Source organism: Homo sapiens, chromosome 3, assembly GCF_000001405.40.
Source record: "Homo sapiens chromosome 3, GRCh38.p14 Primary Assembly".
Classification (NCBI taxonomy): domain Eukaryota; kingdom Metazoa; phylum Chordata; class Mammalia; order Primates; family Hominidae; genus Homo; species Homo sapiens.
The window spans coordinates 129,721,017-129,744,390 of record NC_000003.12 but is presented as its reverse complement, the minus strand read 5'-3'; the positions used below and the strand labels follow the sequence as shown (position 1 = coordinate 129,744,390).

The following is a 23,374-nucleotide window of genomic DNA, read 5'->3' as shown; positions in this document are numbered from 1 at the left end:
GCTTGAGCCCAGGAGTTCAAGACCAGCCTGGGCAACATAGTGAGACCCTGTCTGTTTATATTAAAAATAAAACTAGAAAAGGAAAAAGAAAGTGGTGAAGTTAAATGGGTTGTATTGAGGTTTCTAAAAACTACGACAACCAATCTTTTTGACATCCTCCTGTGTCCTCCCTTGAAATTGCTACCAGAGCTCCTTGACCTCTAACTTGGTGCCAGTATTAAAGTTAAAAGGTGAAATTGTAAGGTTCAGATATCTTATCAGCTATGTAAGCATCTATTTTGCATCTAACTTGGTACATGGAACACAATATCAGTCAGAATTAATCCAGAAACTTACATAATTTCAAAGAAAGTATTTTAAAATCATACTCTTAGGTGTCACTGAAATTAAAGAGGCTTTTCACTGTGGACAGCTTCATTAGATACTATTATGACTGTACTCTTTTTTTTTTTTTTAAACAAGTGCACTTGGCAAATGACACCTACCAGAATGAAAAGAAATCTGATTTTTTTAAAAAACAGTGAAGTTATTTTTAAAAACTTGATTGGAAAATGAGTTAATAAATATCAAGCACGTTGTGACTTCAGTTAACTTTATTTTTGAAGTTCTGGGTCAAGAATTTTTTCTTTAGCAGGAATGGGCATTTTGCAGATAGGTTAGCTTATTTGCCAGCTATCGTAGCCTTTTTAGTAAAATAAGTCATAAATTGTTTAGAATGAAGAGACTTTTTTTAATCCAAAAGAATCCATGGTTCATTGTAATATAACAATTTTATCAGTATTTCTAATTCTGGTATCAGTCATGCATATTCCATGGTGCCATTTGTATAATGTTACTACAACCCTATCTTGTCACTTTGTGATTTAATTTTTTGCTCTGAATACTTCACATAAACATATAGAGGGGTAGCTGCTTAATTCCACAGATTTACCATAGGCGATACCATGGAGTACAGATGACACTTTTCTACAAAAGTAGTCTTTTATGGAATGTTTAATTCCTTCCTTATCCCAATCCCTCTAGAATTCTTAGTTGATCATTAAGTTCAGATGTACAAACTACAAGCAAATCATCCTCAGAGACTTGGTTCAACCAAGAATTTTTTCTTAAGAAGCTTCAAAGATGAGGAAACTGACAAGTGAGACTCGTCTGTGGAAATATTTCATGGAGGAGTGACTTTTTAGAAAGAGCTTTTTGAAATATAATTCTTATACCATACACCTCACCCATTGAAAGTATACAGTCCATGGCTTTTAGTAGATTCACAGAGTGCAACCATTACTACAATTTTAGAACATTTTTATTATCTCAAAAGGAAGCCCCATACCTCTTAGGCATCACTGCCCAATCTCCCCATTCTCCCCCGGCACTAGGCAATTACTAATCTATTTTCTATCCCTATAGATTTGCCTATTCTGGACATCTTCTATAAAGGGAATCATACAATATGTCGTCCTTTGGGGCTGGCTTCTTTCCAGAAACATGTAATACATGGTCCTTCAGATCTGGCTACTTTTATTTAGCACATTGTTTTGAAGGTTTATCCATGTCATAATGCATTTCTTACTGCAAAATCATATTCTATTATGTGGATATGTCACATTTTATCCATTTATCAGTTGATGGACATTTATGTTGTTTCTACTTTTTGGACAGTATGAATAACGCTGCTGTGAATATCTGTGGAAACATTTATTCATTTCTCCTGGGTGTATACATGTAGGAGTAGATTAATCATTTAGGGAATTGCCAGACTATTTTCCAAACATGCCATACCTTTTACCACTAGCAATATATGAGGGTTTCAATTTCTGCACATTCTTACCAATTGTTATTATTATCTGTCTTTATAGCCATCCTAGTGGGTATGAAGTAGTATCACATTTTTATTTACACTTCCTTGGTGGTTAATGATGAGCTGAGCATCTTTTTATGTGCTTATTGGCCATTTGTAATCATCTTGGAAGAACTGTCTGTTCAGGTCCTCTGTCCATTTTGTAATTGGATTGTCTTTTCAATTTTGACTTATAATTTTTTATATATTCTGTGTACAAGTTCCTTATCAGATGTATGATTTGCAAGATTCTTTCCTCTGTGGTTTTTATCTTTTCACTTTGTTAATGGTGTCCTTTGAAGCATAACAGTTTTTAATTTTGATCATATCTATTTTTTTTCTTTTGTTGTTTATGTTTTTGGTGTCATATCTGAGAAACCACTGCCTATCCTAAATCAAGGACCAGGAAAAAAACACAAACAGACTCATTGACTATTCAAGGTCACAAAGATTTACATCCATGTTTTCTTACGAGAGTTTTAGATTTAGGTCTTTCATCCAAAAGATCAAGACTATTCATCTTTTCCCTGTGAGTTATCTTGACAGAGGAAATGATTCTTCAGCATTGTCTTTAAAGGAGGAATTTAAATAGCAGAAATGATAGCATTCCAGTCTGGTTTCTAGATAAATTATGTGAATTATATGAGATTAAGATAAGATATTTGAATCAGAGAGGTGTTTGCCTGTGTTGTATATAAGTAAGAGTTAAAATACGGAATTAGAGAATGAAGTTGTAGTGGTAGAAGTCTGTTAAGATATAACTGATGATCTCAACCTCTTCTGTTTAATAAGTTGTGGAATCTTCAGTGATTATAATAAGTGTGTGGAGAAATGGAGACAAGTTTAAGTATATGAGAGCTGCTCTAAATTTATAAGATAAAGCCAACAGAAAGCAGTTAAAGCAGAGATCGAGCATAAAAAATGTAATTTATAATTTTATTTCCTTCAAATAAATATAGCAGCACAGAATTAGAGACAATTAACTCAGTGGCAAAGTAGTAGAAAGATTGTTAGTGAAGAGTCAGAAGTCCTTAGTTCTAATTATAATCTATATTAGGTGTGTGACCTTGAATAAATCATGGCCTTCTGAATGGTAGCTTGCCTTTACTGAGGCTCTAACATATGCAGGACTTTTGCAAGCCTCAATCTTCTCTTTTATAAAATGGAGATAATGTCAAATTACTTTGGAAACTTTTTAAACAGCCATACAGGTAGAAGGGATTATTATATTTGAAATTTGGAAATTATTCAGTGCAGTACTACTAGTAGCAGCTGATAGTACATGTGTCTTTATTCAAAACAATTATGTAAGGGATGCTGTATCCTCCTTTTGATGATGAAGAAACCAGTTTTCAGTAATTATGAAAGTTATACTGTCATAGTCAACACAGCAGTGATTCTAATCCAGTTCTTCCTGATTTCTTTATATCACCATGATTTTTGCTTGAAAGATAATAGATCCTGGTGGGTGGGTATGGAAAGGGAATAGGATACTAGCAATGAGACTAAAATTATTAGACATATTAGACATATGAAAGCTTAAGGTATAATTCCAAAGGGGCAATGAGTCCTGAGATTGGTGATCTCAGATGTGAAGTGGAAGAGTGCCATATGTTAATAAGGTTAAAGGTATATGCTATCTGATTAACTTATAAGTACCAGAACTAGATGTTGTAAAGCCCAGTCAAATAATAGTTTATCTGTACGTGTGCTAGAATCTTTGAAATTTTTGTTCAGGAGTCAAAGAAAGAAGACCAGTGAGGTAATGAAGTCACAATGGGGAACAGTGGTAAGTACAAGAGGCCAAAATAAATTACAGCTTGTAGAGATAGGTAGACTTTGCTTTGAACTATGAAAAAATCATTTCTTAGAATTGGTTCTCATATTTATACTCTTCTCACCCCACCGATAAAGGGCCTGTGGTTACTTTCCCAATGTCATGGAACTAAGCATCTCTTGAGTACTTTATAGCTCTGATCTCAGCTTTTTGCATACTTCTCACCCTTCCCGTGGTTGAGTTGAGAACTCCCATGAGTTAGGAAACATTATTTGGGAATATATTAAGAGTCATACCAGAAAGGAAGTACAGAAAAGAGCAGAACAATTTTTATTCCTTGATTTATCCTATGCCATTGCCTTTTTAATGACGAGTACAAAGTTTAAGCTTTACTTGTGCTACTAAGTTATCAAGCAGTGGACATGCTTCTCTTGGATAGAACTGAGGTGTGGAGATGTCATCAGCTGGCACAGGGGAAGCAAAGAACTTTGAACTCTAATTCTGACTAGCAGACTTGCAATTTCTGCATAGAAATTCATAGTGATTGGTATCTAGGAGAATACATCTGAGATGGAAGTATGGAACAGGAAAGGTAACTAGTATATATTGGGCCCAGGCTCCATGCAAGGCAGTCTGAAACACGTGCAGACTAGGACGTCTTCAGAGATTGCAAAGACCTGAGCTGTTCTCACTTACACCGCTCTGTTTCTCTGAAATGGCAGGACTGGGATTCAGAAGGAACAATTGAGTTGAGAAACATTATTTGAGAGAAAACTAATGCTGTATGCTAACCTTGCACGTAAGTGCTTGTGTGCTTAATAAATGACGAGGAATAGCAAAAGAGGGAACCAAAAGTAAGAATCTTAAATCTAGTTTACCCTTTTCCTATGTAGTATTTAAGATCAGGGAATCTGAAATCAGACTCCTCAGGTTTTCGCAATATTTCTTTCTTCCATTAACTTATGCAACAGGACATTGAACCTGTTTGGTGTAAAGGAAACTAATAGTGGGGAAAAAAATTTTTAGGCTGTTTTACTTGGAGATTATATGCTAATTGCCAGACTGCTTGCCAGTGAGTTCAGTCTTCTGTGCTGACCAACTTGTGACAAAAATGGAGATTAGATACTTAATATTTGGTAATAATATGCTAAGGGACCTGTTCCTTACTAGACTATCTCTCTTCCAGTATCAAGTCAGGTTACCAGAAAGCTACAGACTTAAACTGTGTTCCTTCAGCTCATGTAGAAACTCATTCACTGAACTATGATCTTATAAGCCCTTGGTTATTGTTGTAGATGGTTATAAGAATCATCTGTGGGCCAGGCGCAGTGGCTCACGCAATCTCAGCACTTTGGGAGGCCGAGGCGGGTGGATCACTTGAGGTCAGGAGTTTGAGACAGCCTGGCCAACATGGTAGAATTCCGTCTCTACTGAAAATACAAAAATTAGCCAGGTGTGTTGGTGCATGCCTGTAATCCCAGCTAGTCAGGAGGCTGAGGCATGAGAATTTCTTGAATCTGGGAGGCAGAGGCTGCAGTGAGCCCAGATGGTGCCACTGCACTCCAGCCTGGGAGACAGAGTGAGATTCTGTCTCAAAAAAAGAATCATCTGTGAAGGATATCTTTTAATCTTTAAAAAAGATAATTCTTAAAGATTTTAGTTAGGCTGGGCATGGTGGCTCCTGCCTTTAATCCCAGCAGTTTGGGAGACCAAGGTAGGTGTGTCTCTTGAGCCCAGGAGTTTGAGACCAGCCTGGGCAACATGGCAAAACCCCATCTCTACAAAAAATACAAAAATTAGCTGGGCGTGGTGGCGCGTGCCTGTAGTCCCAGGTAGTCAGGAGGCTGAGGTGGGAGGATCACTTACCCAGGTGGCGGAGGTTGCTGGGAGCTGAGATTTCACCATTGCACTCCAGGCTGGGTGACAGAGTGAGACCCTGTCTCAAACAAAAACAAAAAAAAGATTTTAATTATTAGTTCTTCTTATATAAAAGTCCATGTGTAAATTTCTCCTCCAGTTAAGTGGAGATAAATTCTATTCTTAAACACTTTTTTTAATCGCCAATGAAAAAAATTACAATGAAACCACGCTATCTCCATTTTTGCTTTGGTTGCTAGAAAACTCAAAAGTGTTCACTTGCAGTAGCTAGCCTTGGTTTATGTTTCTAGTTCAATTGTCTGCTTCCCTGTCTCCTATTATAACTTTTATTCTTTAATTGTAGTTTTTATTGAAACAGTAGTTGTTATTAAAAGTTTTTTAAAAACAAATAAATTTTACAAGTCATTTTAAATTCCTGTTTGGAAGTAAAGTAGGTTATGGATTAGTAACTGGTACTGCAACAGAATTGTGTAATATATGAAGATCTATTCCAGGAATACTGCTTCCTAATTAACGTGACGCCTGAGTAGAGTGCCTTTTGAAACATACAGTGTTAGAACTGAAAAGCCAAAAGTGAAAATTGAAAGCTCTCTTTCTTTTTTCTTCTTCTCTTTTTTTTTTTTTTTTTGTTTAGGCGGAGTCTCACTCTGTTGCCCAGGCCGGAGTACAATGGCACAATCTCGGCTCACTGCAACCTCTGCCTCCCAGGTTCAAGTGATTACCCTGCCTCAGCTTCCTGAGTAGCTGGGGTTACAGGTGCCCACCACCACGCTTGGCTAATTTTTGTATTTTTAGTAGAGATGGGGTTTTGCCGTGTTGGCCAGGCTGGTCTTGAACTCCTGATCTCAGGTGGTCTGCCCACGTCAGCCTCCCAAAGTGCTGGGATTACAGGCGTGAAACACTGCGCCTGGCTGAGCTCTCTTTCTTTTAAGAAAGAAGTATAGTTCTGGAGTTTATATATATTATTTCTGCCCTAAGACATGTGACTCATAGGCCAATGGTTTCTAGCCTGTGCACTTAGATCCTTGGTTACAGTGGAACTATTTTAAGTGGTCAACTTTTTAATATCATTGAATATTAGATGATATCAAGAAATTATGGTAAATTTAGTAGGTGTGAGAATGGCATTGTAGTTATTTAGGAGAATGGCTTTAAATTTTGGAGATATGTGCTGAAGTATTTTGGGGTGTGTGTCTTAGTTTGTAGGGCTACTATAACAAAATGCGCTAGACTGGGTAGTTTAAAAACAACAGAAATTTATTTCTCACAGTTCTGGAAACTGGGAAGTCCAAGTTCAAGGTGCCAGCAGATTTGGTGTCTGGTGAAGGCCTATTTCTCATAGATAGATGTCACCTTCTTGCTGCATCATCACATGGTGAAAGGGGCAAGAGAATTCCGTCAAGCCTCTTTTTTTTTTTTTCTGAGATGGAGGCTTGCTGTGTTGCCCAGGCTGGAGTGCAGCGGCGTGATCTCGGCTCACTACAACCTCCGCTTCCTGGGTTCAAGCAATTCTCTGTTTCAGTCTCCTGAGTAGCTGCGATTACAGGTGTGTGCCACCACGCCCAGCTAATCTTTGTATTTTTTTCGTAGAGATGGGGTTTTGCCATGTTGGCCAGACCAGACTGGTCTCTGGTCTTGAACTCCTGACCTCAGGTGATTCGCCCACCTCAGCCTCCCAAAGTGCTGGGATTACAGGTGTGAGCCACCACGCCCGGCCCCCCTCTAGCCTCTTTTATAAGGCAGCAGTCACATTCATGAGGGTGAAGCCCTTATGACTTAATCACTTTCCAAAAGCCCCACCTTTTAACACTATCACATTGGGTATTAGGTTCCAACATATGAATTTTGGGGAGACATGCAGATCATAGCAGTGTGGAGGATCATATGTAATTTACTTTAAGTGGTTTAGGTTTGCATATGTGTGAAAGTGAAGCAAATATGGCAAAAGGTTAACAGTTGTTGAGTATGGGTGGTAGGTATATGGCTGTTTATTATAACATCTTTTCTGGTTTTTTTTCCAGTATATTTGAAATTTTTTATAATTAAAAGTTAGAGAAAGGGTACTCATACTTGAATAATTGCGGCCGGGCGCAGTGGCTCACGCTTGTAATCCCAGCACTTTGGGAGGCTGAGCCAGGTGGATCATGAGGTCAGGAGTTCGAGACCAGCCTGACCAACACAGTGAAACCCTGTCTCTACTAAAATTACAAAAATTAGCTGGGCGTGGTGGCGGGCGCCTGTGATCCCAGCTACTCAGGAGGCTGAGACAGGAGAATCACTTGAACCTGGGAGGTGGGGGTGGCAGTGAGCCGAGATTGTGCCATTGCATTCCAGCCTGGGCAGCAGAGCTAGACTCCATCTCAAAAAAAAAAAAAAAGAAAAGAAAATAATAATTGTCATTACTAGTCCAGCCTTCATTTTTTTAAAGGAGAAGTTTCATCACAATTATTAAATGGCCTAGACTTGTTTTTGCCTAACATTGTACAACTAACATAAAGGGATAAGTAACTAAAGTATTAAACAATTGTGTGATAAAATTATTGCCACAGTTTTCACTATCCTGAGTGACTCTACAGTGTAGCATTCTGGCAGGCTCTGCACGGGATACAGGTATGTCCTGCCAGTTGCAGATGCAGATGAGTCAGTAGAATTGATAGTTTGGCATTTGTGCCAGTAGATACCAAGTGAACATGGTGATCACTTGCTCATCCTCCTCACAATCCCTGCACGAGATCCACAGCCTTAACTCAGGTGACCCAGCAGATTTTTGGGTCATTTGTAAGATCAAAAAAACAAATTCTCTACTTTCTTACCCAGCAAGTCATATGAGAGCCAGAAGAGGGTATAGAATGAGTAAAACTCCCCTTTCTACTCTGGCCAAAGTACATTACTTAAGGTCTACAGATAAGAGCAGGTCTTTCGGCTCTACTCCATGTAGACTTTTCTTTCTCTGATGTTCCAGGAGTCCCCCCAGAAGGTCAGCAGGCTTCTACCATGTTCGCAGCTTTGAACGAAATCACTGCCAGGCTGCAAGATGTGCCAAATAACCTGCTGTACTGTATTGTAGCAGATGATGGTGGGGAAAGCAAGAGAGCTCATAGAGGCTGCTCCTCTCCTTACTGTCTTGAGTCATGAGACCTTTACTTAGGATATAACAGAAGCTAACCTGTTTTTCACTTGCTCTCTTACATGCACTTTTGAAACGTATTAAATCTTCATAATCCCTGGTTCTCTTTGCTTTTTTTTTTTTTTTTAAGAGAGTCTTGGCTCTGTCGCCCAGGCTGGAGTGCAGTGGCACAATCATAGTTCACAGCAGCCTTGAACTCCTGGGCTCAAGAGATCCTCCCGCCTCAGCCTCCCAAGTAGCTAGGACTACAGGTGCGTGCCACAACACCTGGCTATTTTTTTCTTTTTCCTTTTTTGTGGAGACAGGATCTCACTGTGTTGCCAAGGCTGGTCTCAAACTCTTGCCTCAAGCAATCCTCCTGCCTCAGCTCCCAAAGTGCTGGGATTACAGGAGTGAGCCATCACACCTGGCCCCTTTTAGCTTGCTTAAACACACTTTTTTGGCGAAGTGTGTTTAGCTAACATATTGTTAGAATATTCTTTCATTAAACATTTGAATGTTAACAATGTAATGTATATATGTTCTCATAGTTTTTTTCTTTCTGATTTTTGTGTTATAAAATATTTCAAACAGAGGCTGGGTGCAGTGGCTCACGCCTGTAATCCCAACACTTTGGGAGGCCAAGGCGGGCGGGTCATGAGGTCAGGAGATAGAGACCAGCCTGGCTAACACAGTGAAACCCCATCTCTGCTAAAAATGTAAAAAATTAGCCGGGCGTGGTGGCGGGCGCCTGTAGTCCCAGCTGCTTGGGAGGCTGAGGCAGGAGAACAGCATGAACCCGGAGACGGAGCTTGCAGTGAGCCGAGATCACGCCACTGCACTCCAGCCTGGGTGACAGGGCGAGACTCCATCTCAAAAAAAAAAAAAAAATTTCGAACAGAAAAATAAAGAGATTAATGGGTGGCTGTATGCAAGAAAAATGAAAAAGAGAATAACAACAAACACTCAAGCACAATTACCAAGCTTTTCAAACTTGGTACTTTCATTTTTTTGTGTACCATTCCTCAATCCATTCCGCTTCTTCAGAGACAAGTACTATCCTGAATTTAGTGTTTTTCATTAACATATGTGTTTTATTCTTTTGTGTTTTTTGAGACAGAATCTCCCTCTGTCACCCATGCTGGAGTGCAGTGATGCAATCACAGCTCACTGCAGCCTCTGCCTTCTGGGCTCAAGCAATCCTCCCACCTCAGCCTCAAGTAGCTGGGACTACAGGCACCAGCACCAAGCCCAGCTAATTTTTATATTGTTTGTAGTGACGGGGTTTCTCCATGTTGCCCAGGCTGATGTCAAACTCCTGAGCTTAAGCAGTCTGCCCACCTCAGCCTCTCAAATAACAAATATGTCTATGTACTTGTATTGCATGTACATCTGTCCATAAAAAAACATATAGTTTTGTTTTACATGATTTTAAATTTTATGTAAATGATTCTCTTCTACATGTTATGCAAGTCTGTATACGCAAAATTTCTTTACTCTTTTCACTTGATATCATGCTTTTGAAATTATTTACACTGATAACATATAGTTCTGATCTACTTGTTGTATAGTATTCTGTTTTATGAATATACCAGTTTGTAAGTTGATTCTCCTGTTAATGGACATACAGTTTTCAATATTTCATTGTTTCATAAACAGTGCTACAGTGAATACTCTTGAACATGTCTTCTTATGCAAATATATGGAGTTTCTCTAGTATATACTAATTTATCTAGTAATTCCTAGGAATGGATTTACTGGGTTATACAGTATATTCATCTTCTGTTTAACTAGATATTGCTAAATTGCTATCCAGAGTGATTATGCTAACTTATTCCTATCAGTAGTGTGTGAAAGTTCCCATTGACCTGCATCTTCACAAACACTTAAAATTTTTGCCTGTTCGTGGATGTGAAATGGTGCTATCTACACAGTTTCTTTCTGTGTAGTGATTTGTTTATGTTGGGCAAAGCTTATGATAGCTAGTGGAGCTGATTGACATCCTAGATATTTTAATTCAGGAAATATTAGTGCTTAATTATACAAACAGGTTGGTAGGCTATTCTGAATGAAATGCTGCTTGCTGGTGAAATACTCTGTTTTCAAGACCGCAAAACTAAAACCTTGTTTTAGGAATTCTATACAAGAATAACTTTGGGGAAAATTTTTTCCCTTAGGGCATTTCCACTTTCCAAATTTTTCCTCGTTGTTCCCTTTTCCTCCAATGATTCTCTTAATTCTGACTGATACCAGTCAGGGCATGAAAGAATGAAATGTCCAAACCCTTACTGACAAATTATACCTGACAGCAGAATAAACCCACATCTACTAAGAGGCTTCCATGGTTTTTACTGCTATCACTTTGATTACTCCAATAATGAAACTATTGAATCTGTTTCTTAGAAGCCAAGGTAAGAAAGCAGAGAATAGTCTGCCATTGAACTGATAGCATCTGTTTTATAATTATCTGGTGACTTTTCTAGAGAAGATGCATAAAGGCTGTGTTGTTTCATGTACACCACACTTGAATGATTGCTTCTTGAGTTGGATTGTACTCCAGTTATCTATTTCTGTGTAACAGTTCACCTCAGAACTTCGTGGCTTAAGATGCCTGTTATGGGTAAGATGGAGCAAACACATTTCACCTGTCTTTTCTACTGAACTCAGCTAAAACACCTGGCCTAGAGCAACTATTTGAGGACTCCAAAAGACGTATCTTAAAAGTTGCACTAAGAAGGAGCAGATTTTGAAGTACTGTTGAACCAGGGTTTAATTTATCATTCTCACCTCTCTCATATCCTCAGGCTTCAAATCAACACAGCCTAAAACCCCTAAGTGGACATTAATGTGGATAAGAGAACTCTAGGAGAAGCCTTCAGTTCTGGTTCAAAGAATGGGAAGGCGATATTGTAATACTAATAGAAAGTACAGAAACTTTTTCTTTTTTCCTTTTTCTTTCCTCTGTTCTCTTGCACCATGAACCTCAAGCAGTCCTGCAGTGACAGCAGATTGGGGTCTAGCAAGAGCTTAAAACTCTGATTTTAGGGAACCATTCTCAGATCAGTGGAGCTGTGGTTACAAGAGGGTGGAATGAGTCTCAATTGCTTTTTTTCTCTCTCCTTCATCTGCTTGCTTCCAAACAAAGGCACTATTATGGAAATTGTATGGCTGAGCAGAGTAAATAACATACCAGCTTTCTGACTAGGTAATGAGAAAGGGGAATCCCATTGACCTAGAAAGTACTGGGAGATTATAAGATATTTGAAAATAAACTCTTTAAATTTTATTATGAATTTTTGAGCTTATTCATGCAGTCTGCATGCAGAAATCTGACCCCAAACAGTATACCTAGACTTTGAGAAATGAAGTAGGGGTTAGACCATTGCCAAGTCCCAGACTGGCAACAGGGTGGGTGGTGCATCTGTGGGACAGATCCAAAAAGCACTGCAAAGACTTTGAAAACTTAACTGACATTGGAGTTCTGGCTGGGGAACAGTGCAAGGATGTCCTCTCTGGCAATTTCTATTGGTATTGAAGTTCTCGCCAGTAAAATAAATCAAGAAAAGGAAATAAAAGACATACAAATTGGAAAGAAAGAAGTAAAACAATTTCTATTCACTGGCTACATCACTGTATATGTAGAAAACCAAGGAATCCACAGAATACTCCTAGAACTAAGTGAGGTTAGCAAGGTTGCAACATACTATGCCAGTCTACACAAAATATTTAGAAAAAAAATTTCAAAAAGTTCCAAAAAGCAAAATTTGAATTTGCCACACATGAAATACTATGTTGAATCCATGTGAATGAAGTGATGTGTAGGCATTGCATTGGGTATTATAAATCTAGAGATTCTTTAAAACATATGGGAAGCCAGGCACAGTGGCTCACACCTGTAATCCCAGACCTTTGGGAGGCTGAGGCAGGTGAATCGTTTAAGCTCAGGAGTTCAAGACCAGCCTGGGCAGCATGGCAAAACCCTGTCTCTACCAAAAAAAATACGAAAAACTAGCCGGGCTTGGGGGCTGACACCTGTAGTCTCAGCTCCTTGGGAGGCTGAGGTGGGAGGATGGCTTGAGCCAGTAAGTATGAAATTAGCTGCTGTGTAAAAAAATTTTGGGCCAGGCACGGTGGCTCACGCCTGTTTAAAAAAAAAAAAATGATGAAGTTCCCCTCTATTCCTAATTTGCTAAGAGTTCTTATTTATTTATTTATTTAGAGACGGAGTCTCACTCTGTCACCCAGACTGGAGTGCAGTGGCACGATGTCGGTTAACTGCAACCTCTGCCTCCTGGGTTCAAGTGATTCTTGTGCCTCAGTCTCCCAAGTAGCTGGGATTACAGGCATGCATCACGATGTCTAGCTAATTTTTGTATTTTTAGTAGAGACAGGGTTTCACCATGTTGGCTAGACTGGTCTCAAACTCCTGGCCTCATGTGATCTCTCCACCTTGGCCTCCCAAAGTGCTGAGATTACAGGTGTGAGCCACCGCGTCCAGCCTAATTGGCTAAGAGTTTAATAATGAGTGGCTGTTGACTTTTCTCAAATGCTTTTCCTGTATAAATTGATATCATGTGGTTTTGCTTCTCTGGGCTAATGTTGCTTACCTTGCTTGGTTTTCAAATATTGAACCAGCATTGCATTCCTGATACAAACCCTGCTTGGTTATGGTATATTATTCTTCATATACATTGCTAGGTTTGATTTGCTAGTATGAGGGCTATTGGTCTGCTGTCTTGTTTTGTTTTAACAGATCTTCTCCGGGTTTAATTCCTGGATAATGCTGGCTTCATAAAATGAGTTCCTCCTTCTGCTTTCTGGAACAGATTGTATAGAATTGATTTATTTGTAATGAATGTTTGGTAGAATTTAGTGAAACCACAGGGAGATTTCTTTTTCAGAATATGTTTAATTACAAAATTTCATTTTAAAAACTGTTATATAACCATTCAGTTTATCTATTTCATCTTAGGTGATTCTGGTAGTTTGTTGTTTGAGAATTTGGTCCGCTTCATGTAAACTGTTGATTTATGTACACACAGTTCTTTGTAGGCATTCCCTATTATCCTTTTAACACAATTCCAATCAGAAATCTCAGCAGGACCTTTTTGTAGAGATAGACAAGCTTATTCTTAAATATATATCGAAAGGCAAAAGAACTAGAAGAGTCAACCATACTGGAAAAGAAAAATAAAGTTACGTGAATTATTCTGCCCAGCTTTCAGACTTACCATAAAGCTACAGTAACCAAGATGAGGCCATATTAGTAAAAGGGTACACATGTAGATTAATGGAATAGAATAGAAAGTTCAGAAATAGACCCACGTAAATATTGCCAGTTCATATTTCACAAAAATACAAAGGCAATTCAATGGAGAAAGGATAGTGTTTTCAAAAAGAGGTGTTGGAAAAAGTAGAAATCTGTAGGCAAAAACTTGAACTTCTCACACCTTATATAAAAATTAACACAAAATAAATCATAAATTAATATATAAAATAAACTATGAAACTTTTAGAACAACACAGGAAATTTTTAATCTGTGAAAGATGCTATCGAGAGAATTAAAGGGCATGCTGCATATTGGGAGAAAAATTTGTAAATCACATATCTGACAAAGGACTTATATTCAGAATACAGATGGTTCCTGACTTAAAATGGTTCAACTTAACAATTTTTTTGACTTTACAATGGTGCAAAAGCAATATATGTCTAGCAGAAACCATATTTCGAGTACCTGTACAACTATTCTGTTATTCACTATCAGTACAATAGTCAATAAATTATTTTTCTATTTTTTTATTTTATTTATTTAAAAATTTTTTTAAAAGCAGAGACAAGGTCTCACTCGTTGGCCAGGCTGGTCTTGAACTCCTGGGCTCAATTATTCCTCCCATCTCCGCTCAATATTCCTCCCATCTCAGCCTCCTAAAGTGCTGGGATTACAGGCATGAGCCACTGTGCCTGGCCTCATTCCTTTTTATGAAATAGGCTTTGCGTTAGGTGATTTTGCCAACTGTGGGCTAATGTAAGCGTTCTGAGCAATTTAAGGTAGGTTAGGCTAAGCCATGATGTTCAGTAAGTTAGGTATATTAAATACACTTTCAACTTGCAATATTTTCATTTTATTATTTTTTTACGATGGGATTCTTGCTGTGTTGACTAGACTGGTCTCAACCTCCTGGCCTCAAGTGACCTCCCATCTTGGCCTCCCAAAGTGCTGGGATTATACATGTGAGCTACTGTGCCTGGCCAATATTTTCATCTCACAGTTCATTTATTGAGACAAAAGTCAAGGAACAGCTGTATATAAAAAATTGTCAAAGCTCAATAGTTTTATTTTTAAACCCTATATAATACATGGTCAAATGTCTTAAACAGATTCTTTACAAAAGATTCTTTAATGTCTTAAACAGATTCTTTAAAACAGACAACAAAAGTTGTCATATACAATGACAACTAAATACATAAAAAGATATTTAGCCTTAGTATCCATTAAGAAAATGCATTTAAAATCTTGATGAGGTACCACTCTTAAAATGACTAAAATAAAAAACTGACAGTTGCAAATGCTGACAAGGATGCAGAGAACAATTGGAACTCTCATACACTGCTGGTAGGAAAGGAAAATGGCAAAACTACTCTGGAAAAATTTGGTGATTTTTTTTTTTAAGTTAAACATACTCTGAACATGTGACCCAGTAAATCCATGCCTAGGTATTTAACCTAGAAACATGAAAACTTACATTTCTATGAAATCCTCTACACTGATGTTTATGGCATCTCTACTCACAATTGCTAAAAAATGGAAACCATCCAAATGTCCTTCAACAGGTGAATGGATAAACTGTGGTATATACATACAATGAACTACTACTCAGCAATGAAAAGGAATGAACTATGATACATGCATCATCCTTTATGCATCTCAAAGACATTGTGTTGATAAATCAGTCTCAGAAAGTTATATACTGTATGATTCTGTTTATGTGACACTCTCAGAAAGATAGGACTATAGTGAAAAAGAATAAGTTAAGGGTTAGTGGTGGGGTTAGGTGTGACTATATAAGGAAGTCTTTTGGAACTTCTCTGTATCCTGATTATACTGCTGGTGGTTTCATGAGTCTATGCATGTTTTAAAATTCATAGAACTGTACACATACGTAAAAAGTAAATTCTGTGGTGTTAAGAAATTTTTTAAAAACTTTGTAGCTTGCTGGGCACGGTGGCTCACACCTGTAATCCCAGTGCTTTGGGAGGCCGAGATGGGCAGATCACAAGGTCAGGAGTTCAAAACCAGCCTGGCCAACATGGTGAAACCCCATCTCTACTAAAATTACAAAAATTAGCTGGGCGTGGTGGCCGGCGCCTGTAATCCCAGCTACTTGGGAGACTGAGGCACAAGAATCGCTTGAACCCTGGAGGCGGAGGTTGCAGTGAGTCAAGATCGCACCATTGCACTCCAGTCTAGGCGACAGAGCAAGACTCCATCTCAGAACAACAACAACAAAAAAAACTTTGTAGCTTAAAGTGACAATTTATTTGTCTTGATTCTGTGGGTTGAACAGGCACTTCTGGTTTGTATCAAGTTCCCTATATTAATAAACTTTGCTTTAGGTTAAACCTGTTTATCTTACTCATTTTTATATCCCTAAATGTCCCATATAGTGTGCCTGTCACATAATAAGAATTATTCAATAAATTAGTACAGAGCCCTTCTGCTTTAGGTCAAAGCAAAGTTTATTAAGTTTGCTGAGGTATTGGGATGATCAGAAAGTCCAAATAGCCTCACTCACATGCTAGCTGTTTATGTTAGCTGCTGACTCTGAGTTCAGCTGTGGCTTTTGGCCAGGGACCTTGATTACACTAGTTGGGCTTTTTTGTAGCATGGCAGCTGAGTTCGAATAATCCCCAATTTGCAAGAACTTAACAAGTCTCTGTTTGCATAGTTGTTGATAGTATGCCATTTGCTATAGCTAGTCACAGCTAGTCACCAAGCCCAAAGTCAGTATGGGAAGAAGACTACGTGGGGCATCAGTACCAAGAGGGCTGGCTCATTAGGGACCTCCAAATTACTGTCAGTTGCAGATAGTGAGGGCTTTTGTTTTATTTTTGTTGTAACAGCTTTCTCAGCTTTCCTTCAGACCTTCAGGACTACCTATATTACTTTAGCAAGAAACATTAAGAGACTCCATTATCTAAGAAGGAATAATTGAAGATTGCCTGTTATTTATAAAGATGTAAAATGTGATTATTTTAAACATGTTGAAAATGTATTATTTTTCTGTAAGCTTTGATGATTATAGACTTACATCTTTATAAAGATTTAAAATTCATATTTATAAAAATGAAGCCCACCAACTTCATTCTTTGTGTACCTAATCAGTTTTCCCCAGAATTTTTCTACCATTTATTGATCCTCAGTAAGGTTCCAAAAAACCTCACATAGCACTATAGACAATCTCAGAATTAATTCTGGGGCTAGAAAGGAACCTTCATTGATCATGCAGTCAAACAGCATTCCAAAGAAATAATTTGTCCAAAAAAAGCCTCCACAGAGGATTTATATAGTGAAGCTATAAGGCAGGAATACCAAACCATGAACATCTCTGCAAAGTGAGTACATTGCAGAAATTGAAGAGTTTTTGTTTTTTGTTCATTTGTTTGTTCCATTGTTTTCATACAATGGTGACATAAAAAAACAGATTGGTATGACAGTGCATGAAGTAGGAACAAGATTGTAGGAGGGTACACCATGGTTTAGTAGAAAGAACAGAAATGGAGAATCAGTACATGTGGATTCTAGATCTGATAGGGCCACAACTACATCATTCAATTCTCCTTTCAAAGACTAGGGTTTTGTACTACAGAATAAGATGTTTGGTTTGAACAGTGGTTCTTTTTTTTTTTTTTTTTTTTTTTTTTTTTTGAGACAGAGTCTTGCTCTGTTACCCAGGCTGAAGTGCAGTGGCACCATCTCAGCTCACTGCAACCTCTGGGTTCAAGCAGTTCTGCCTCAGCCTCCCAAGTAGCCGAGATTACAGGTGTGCGCCACCTCACCCAGCTAATTTTTGTATTTTTAATAGAGACAGGGTTTTACCATGTTGGCCAGGCTGGTCTCGAACTCTTGACCTCAGGTGATCCTCCCACCTCGCCTTCCTAAAGTGCTGGGATTACAGGTGTGAGCCATCATGCCCGGCCTTCACATCCCTAGGAGACTTGAGATATTAGAATCTCTAATGGAGAGGTATACTTTTTAAAAAGTAGAGTCCGTATAATTCTTGTTTTAAAACTATAAACTACAGATAGTAAAGCACAATAAAATAATCCAGAGTGGCAGGAATGCATAGCTAGACTGTAGAGCGAGACCGTATTGTAGAGGATGTAAAGTTTTTATTTGTTTGTTTTGTTTTAATGTTGAGAAATAGTAGCCTAGAGAACACAGATGATCTCAAAAGTCAGTAGAGGGCAAGAACCTGTTCATCTTATTCATTTTTGTATCCCTAAATGTCCCATATAGTGTGCCTGGCACATAGTAAGAATTATTGAATAAATACGAAGCCCTTCTAGTTAGAAAATTTTGTCTCCGACATTGAGGATAGTAATTTAGAGCTGCAAAAGTTTCACTCTGTTGTTAGTCCTACTTCTCCTCTACAGATAAGGTATGACTGACTCTTTTTGTTCCATATTAATGCCTATTCCCTTTTGGCCCAAAGTCTGTACCTGTACATACAGGTAGATACAGGTACCTGTCTGTACCTATACAGATTTACATAATTTATCAGATGTTCCCTTCTATTCCTATCCTGGTTCATAGAATGATTATCTTTAGGTTTTTGGGTACAAATGTAGAAATCAAAACATTAGTTGTATCTCCTACCTTTGGCAGTAGACTAAAACCCATACTCCAAAGGACTGTTTACTGCTTTCCCAGACTTTTCTCTTGGCCTTGTGTTAAGATATTGCTAAGAAAGAAGCTCAGAACTAAAAAATTTAGTACGGTTGTTTCTTTTCAATTGGTAATAACCACCATTCTGGGCACTGTTTCTTGTGCATCTTAAAACTAGGGAATCAAAATTTCCTTTGATAGTGTAAGTATAACAAAAAAAAAAATCAATGTTCAAAGTAGATTACTCTTTCAGAGGTTCTTATAAAATGACCTAAAGAAAAGTTTATTAATACAGGAAACTTGCCTATCCAGTCTTTCAAAATTACCTGCTTTGAAACAATCCAGTAATGATTTTTTTCTATTTTCTTTTTTCTATTTCTATAATGACTTTTTTCTATTTCTTTTTTCTATTTACTTAAAAAAATAAGATGCTATGTTTCGTTTTTATTGAAGTAAAATTCTTAAAGAATGAAAAAATTATATTAGAAATTGTACGATTAGGCCGCGCACAGTGGCTCACATCTGTAATCCCAACACTCTAGGAGGCCAAGGCAGGAGGATCACTTGTCAGGAGTTTGAGACCAGCCTGGCCAACATGGTGAAACCCCATCTCTACTAAAAATACAAAATTAGTGGGTGTGGTGGCACATACTTGTAATTCCAGCTACCTGGGAGGCTGAGGCAGGAGAATCACCTGAGCCCAGGAGGCGGAGGTTGCGGTGAGCTGAAATCACACCATTGCACTTCAGCCTGGATGGCAGAGCAAGACCCTGTCTCAAAAAGAAAAAGAAAATGAAATTGTATGATTATCTTTAGGTTTTTGGGTACAAATGTAGATCCTCAAAAACTTTATCAGAAATTTGGAAATCTGTAAATAAGTTATATGTATCTCCTTTTAAAATCCAATATTAGTAAGCTATATGTATAAAAACAAAGCTAGTGTATCTTGAAAAGTTTTTATTTCTTTATTCCTTATCCCTCCTTATCCCACTGAACTATTGAAGAACTTCTTATAGATTTACCTTCCCATTAGTGCTGTAGTACAGTTTTCTTTTATCTCCATTGTCTTGTGTTTCCTGGCTAAATTTTACTTGTTATAAAACTATTGGGTCACTTTTGGTCTAGAATAGAACTTTCATAGTATAAGGGACACCATAAAATGTAAAGGAATGTCTGCATTGCCCTGTTTTCTCTTGGTAGAAAATTCATGTTCTGGCTCCTTTTTTAGTGCCCCTCTTCTTTGGAGGAAGAATTTCTAAAGGCACACATTCTTGAACTAAAAAGAAATGATGATGTATATTAGGTTTGCCTTTTGGGCACATATGAAAAATGAGGTTATTCACACCTTCAGTTCTGGCATATATCCATTACCAAAAATGTATTTCCAGAATATTCTCCCTGTTCCATAGTAAAGTCACAGAGGTGGTTTGGGGTTCTTCAGCTAGGTCGTAGTGCCCAGGAACAGATCAGATCAGAATCAGTATGTTGTTTATGATACAGATCAAATTAACTAATGATTCTTCCAGTTTTCTTCTTCCTGATTATTTCCTCCAGACACAAAATAGGGTCAAGGAGAAAAGTTCTTTTCTACCATTAAACTTTTGAGCTGCCTGTGTTTGGGATTCAAAGTATTTTGGGTGCTTATTGCTTAACTGGGCTGAAGATTATCTCATGTGACACCATAGATCTCTTGTTTTGGAATTGCCATTACTTTCTAGAACAGGCATTCTGTACAGCTGCCAACATGCCCTGAATCCTCTTGCTTCATATTACAGTGATACTGCTTTGTCAGGGTAGAATTCAGCCTCACAGGGCTGGAGTAAGTCTCTGCTGACCTCATGCCACAGTACAACATGTTCAAATCTGGGAGAAACCTGAGGGTTATTCGGCATATTCCTCCTCCTCCTCTCTCACAAGCATGGAGCCCTCACTCTCCTCGGAAACCGTATGTTGTATATGTGTGTGTATCTGTCTTTTAAAAAAAAAAAAAAAAAAATCTCATCCTGAATCCTATAGTTAGTTAGTCCTGCAGCTTTAAGTGGGGGCTGGTTGAATAGACAGACAAAGGAAATAGCCTGAGCTGCTGAAACTTAGCGTTTTTCAGCAGTAGATCTCAGCCAGGGGCATTTGCTATTTTAGGACTGACTTGTGTAAGGTTGTAATAATGGAGAAGCATAATATGTGTTTCCTAGTTGTTCATTTTACCCAAAGCTATTTGGACAGAATGTAGAGGGTGCTCTGTAGCTGTATGGACATGCTCAGATCATCCTGGAGTGTCCCGTCTCTTGTGTGTAATGGGCTGCTTCATTGCAGAGTAAGTGTCATCCTCACTTTCTCAAGCGAAATAGTTACTGGAAAATCAGTGTTTCTTTCAATGAACAAGAGTTTCATTTGCCTTGGACTGCTTGGGAAAAACATGGGTTAAATTCGAAGATGCCAGGCATGCATAACAAATAGGAATTTGATTTAGAGCCACCTGGAATACTTATTAAATTAAAAAAAAAAAATTCTTGATGGATCTAGGTGGCCAAAAAAAAAAAAAAAAAAAGAAAAAGATTTCTTAGTGCTCAGCTACTTATTTTCAAAGTATTTTTCCCAAGGACTTGGAAATTTTCTGAATTGTAAAGCAATATACACATATCTCAGTGTGAAACTTGTATCTCCAGATCAGCAGAACAAATCTCTGAGATAAAACTGGATTGGAGGATGATCCAGCTTTATTCAACACAACCACCATTTTCACATTTCATCCATAGTCCTGAGTACAAACTTAGCCTATAGTTTGATTTTACCATTTTTTTTAGTTGACCTTGCCATTTTTTAGTTGATCTTATAAATGATACATATTTTCTAAGAGATAAATACTAAAGCAAAGGAGATTCTTTATAGTTTTGCCTGATTCTGAAGTTAATGTACATTCATATTGTTTGCTATTGAGCAGTTGGATTTAAGATCCAAACAGATTTTTCACTGTGAAGTTTGATATTGAATTACCCTCTTATGCCTTATGGTTGATAATTTAAATGCCAACTTTTTAAGCAGATTTGTGCCTCTGGTCTGTACCCTCTTTTTCTGTTGTTTGCTATATATCTTGGATTCAAAACCCCTGACACATCTCTGTTTGTTCTGAGGTTATAAAAGGTCAGTTTACTTATCTATTTTATTAAGAATGCTAGCCCAGGGTGAGTGGGGTGATCAGAAGGAAAGGATTCATAGGAGAGCCCTAAAGGAATAGTGGGTGGAGACTAACAGTAAAAGAGAAGTTAACTCCTTTTTTTCCATTATTGATAGTCAGGTGGGGGAGGGCATAAAACATAATTTAAATATTTTTAATTGATTTTATTTGCTGATTGCATTAACTTATAAGAGTAGAGACAGTATGATCAAAACAATATAGTTAGTACCTGAGTGAGTGAGTGTAGATTAAACCAGCAGTCCCCAACCTTTTTGGCACCAGGGACCGGTTTTGTGGAAGACAATTTTTCCACAGATGGGGTCGGGGTGTCTGTGGGCAAGGTTGGAGTGGGATGGTTTGGGGATGAAACTGTTCACCTCAGGTCATCAGGCATTAGTTAGATTATCATAAGGAGCATGCAACCTAGATCCCTCGCAAGCGCAGTTCATAATAGGGTTTGTGCTCCTATGAGAAGCTGATGCCACCACTGATCTGACAGGAGGTGGAGCTCAGGTGGTAATACTCGCTTGCTGCTCACCTCCTACTGTGTGGCCTGGTTCCTAACAGGCCACTGACCTGTACTGGTCTGCGGCCCAGGGGTTGGGGATCCCTGGATTAAACTATTTCCTTGCTTCCCTACCTTTGTCTCTCTCTTACCTGAACTATTTATTGATTGGTAAACTAAAATATTCTCATTGAAACAATGATTAAAATGTTCACAAATGAGGTACTTGCCCCTAGTATCTAAAACTTTTAATATAACAATCTAGATACATAAAACTGCTATAGATAGGGTTTCATATATGACCTCCTTGCATGAGATTGCACACGCTTTGTGTTTTTTGTTTGTTTGTTTTTGAGACGGAGTCTCGCTCTGTCGCCCAGGCTGGAGTGCAGTGGCGCCATCTCGGCTCACTGCAAGCTCTGCCTCCTGGGTTCACGCGATTCTCCTGCCTCAGCCTCACGAGTAGCTGGGACTACAGGTGCCTGCCACCACGCCCAGCTAATTTTTTTTTTTTTTTTTTTTTTGTATTTTTAGTAGAGTTGGGGTTTCACGGTGTTAGCCAGGATAGTCCCAATCTCCTGACCTCGTGATCTGCCTGCCTCGGCCTCCCAAAGTGCTGGGATTATAGACATGAGCCACTACACCCGGCCTGCACATGCTTTGTGAAGAGTTCATTCCAAATTACAGAATGAACATTTTGAAGGCAGGATTTGAGAAGAAAAAATGTAGCTGACTCTGTGGTCCCAGCTACTTGGAAGGCTGAAATGGGAGGATCACTTGAATCCCGGGGCAGGGTAGGGCAGTGGAGGTTGCAGTGAGCTAAATTACCACTGCGCTCCAGCCTGGGTGACAGAGCAAGATCCTTTCTCAAAATAAATAAATACAATAAAGCAGGGTAAGAGGAATTGGAAGTGCTGGACATTGAGGGTAGACTGCCATTTTTAATAGAACAGTAAGCATAAGCTTCATTTAAAACAAGACATTTGAAGGAAGGCTTGAAAGAGGAGAGCAGGTTAGCCGTTCAGCTGAGGAATGAGCATTCCAGGCAGGGGTACAGCCAGAATAACTGCAGGAGTTTTCACAGTGTTTACAAGGAATTAAAAAGAGGTTAGTTGGTATGATTAGAGCAATAATTAAGAGAGGGAAGAGTGGCAGGAATTGGGAGTGTGAGAGATTTAATACAGTGTATCAGTTATCTATTGCTGTGTAACA

The 23,374-nt window shown here is 38.4% G+C and overlaps 1 protein-coding gene across 14 annotated transcripts in view, besides 1 other annotated feature; it reads left to right on the top strand.

Annotated features, from left to right (window-relative positions):
• The window catches only part of TMCC1 (transmembrane and coiled-coil domain family 1), a 245,920-nt gene that overhangs the window by 149,321 nt on the left and 73,225 nt on the right, over window positions 1–23,374 (top strand). Inside the window, exon 1 of one of the 14 annotated variants that reach the window (NM_001349274.2) lies at window positions 20,278–20,427. The exons of the other annotated variants lie outside the window; for them this stretch is intronic. Within the exon in view, the coding sequence (NP_001336203.1) occupies window positions 20,401–20,427 (27 nt within the window). The 5' untranslated portion in view covers window positions 20,278–20,400. Of the gene's footprint in view, window positions 1–20,277; window positions 20,428–23,374 lie in introns of those variants that run through there. 14 annotated transcript variants of the gene reach the window in all.
• Window positions 8,902–9,402: an enhancer, noted in NCBI's record as "H3K4me1 hESC enhancer chr3:129453832-129454332 (GRCh37/hg19 assembly coordinates)". NCBI's record gives its function as "activates a minimal SCP1, AML or CMV promoter by ChIP-STARR-seq in naive H9 embryonic stem cells {active_cell/tissue: H9 hESC(naive)}" and the evidence as "EXISTENCE:reporter gene assay evidence [ECO:0000049][PMID:30033119]".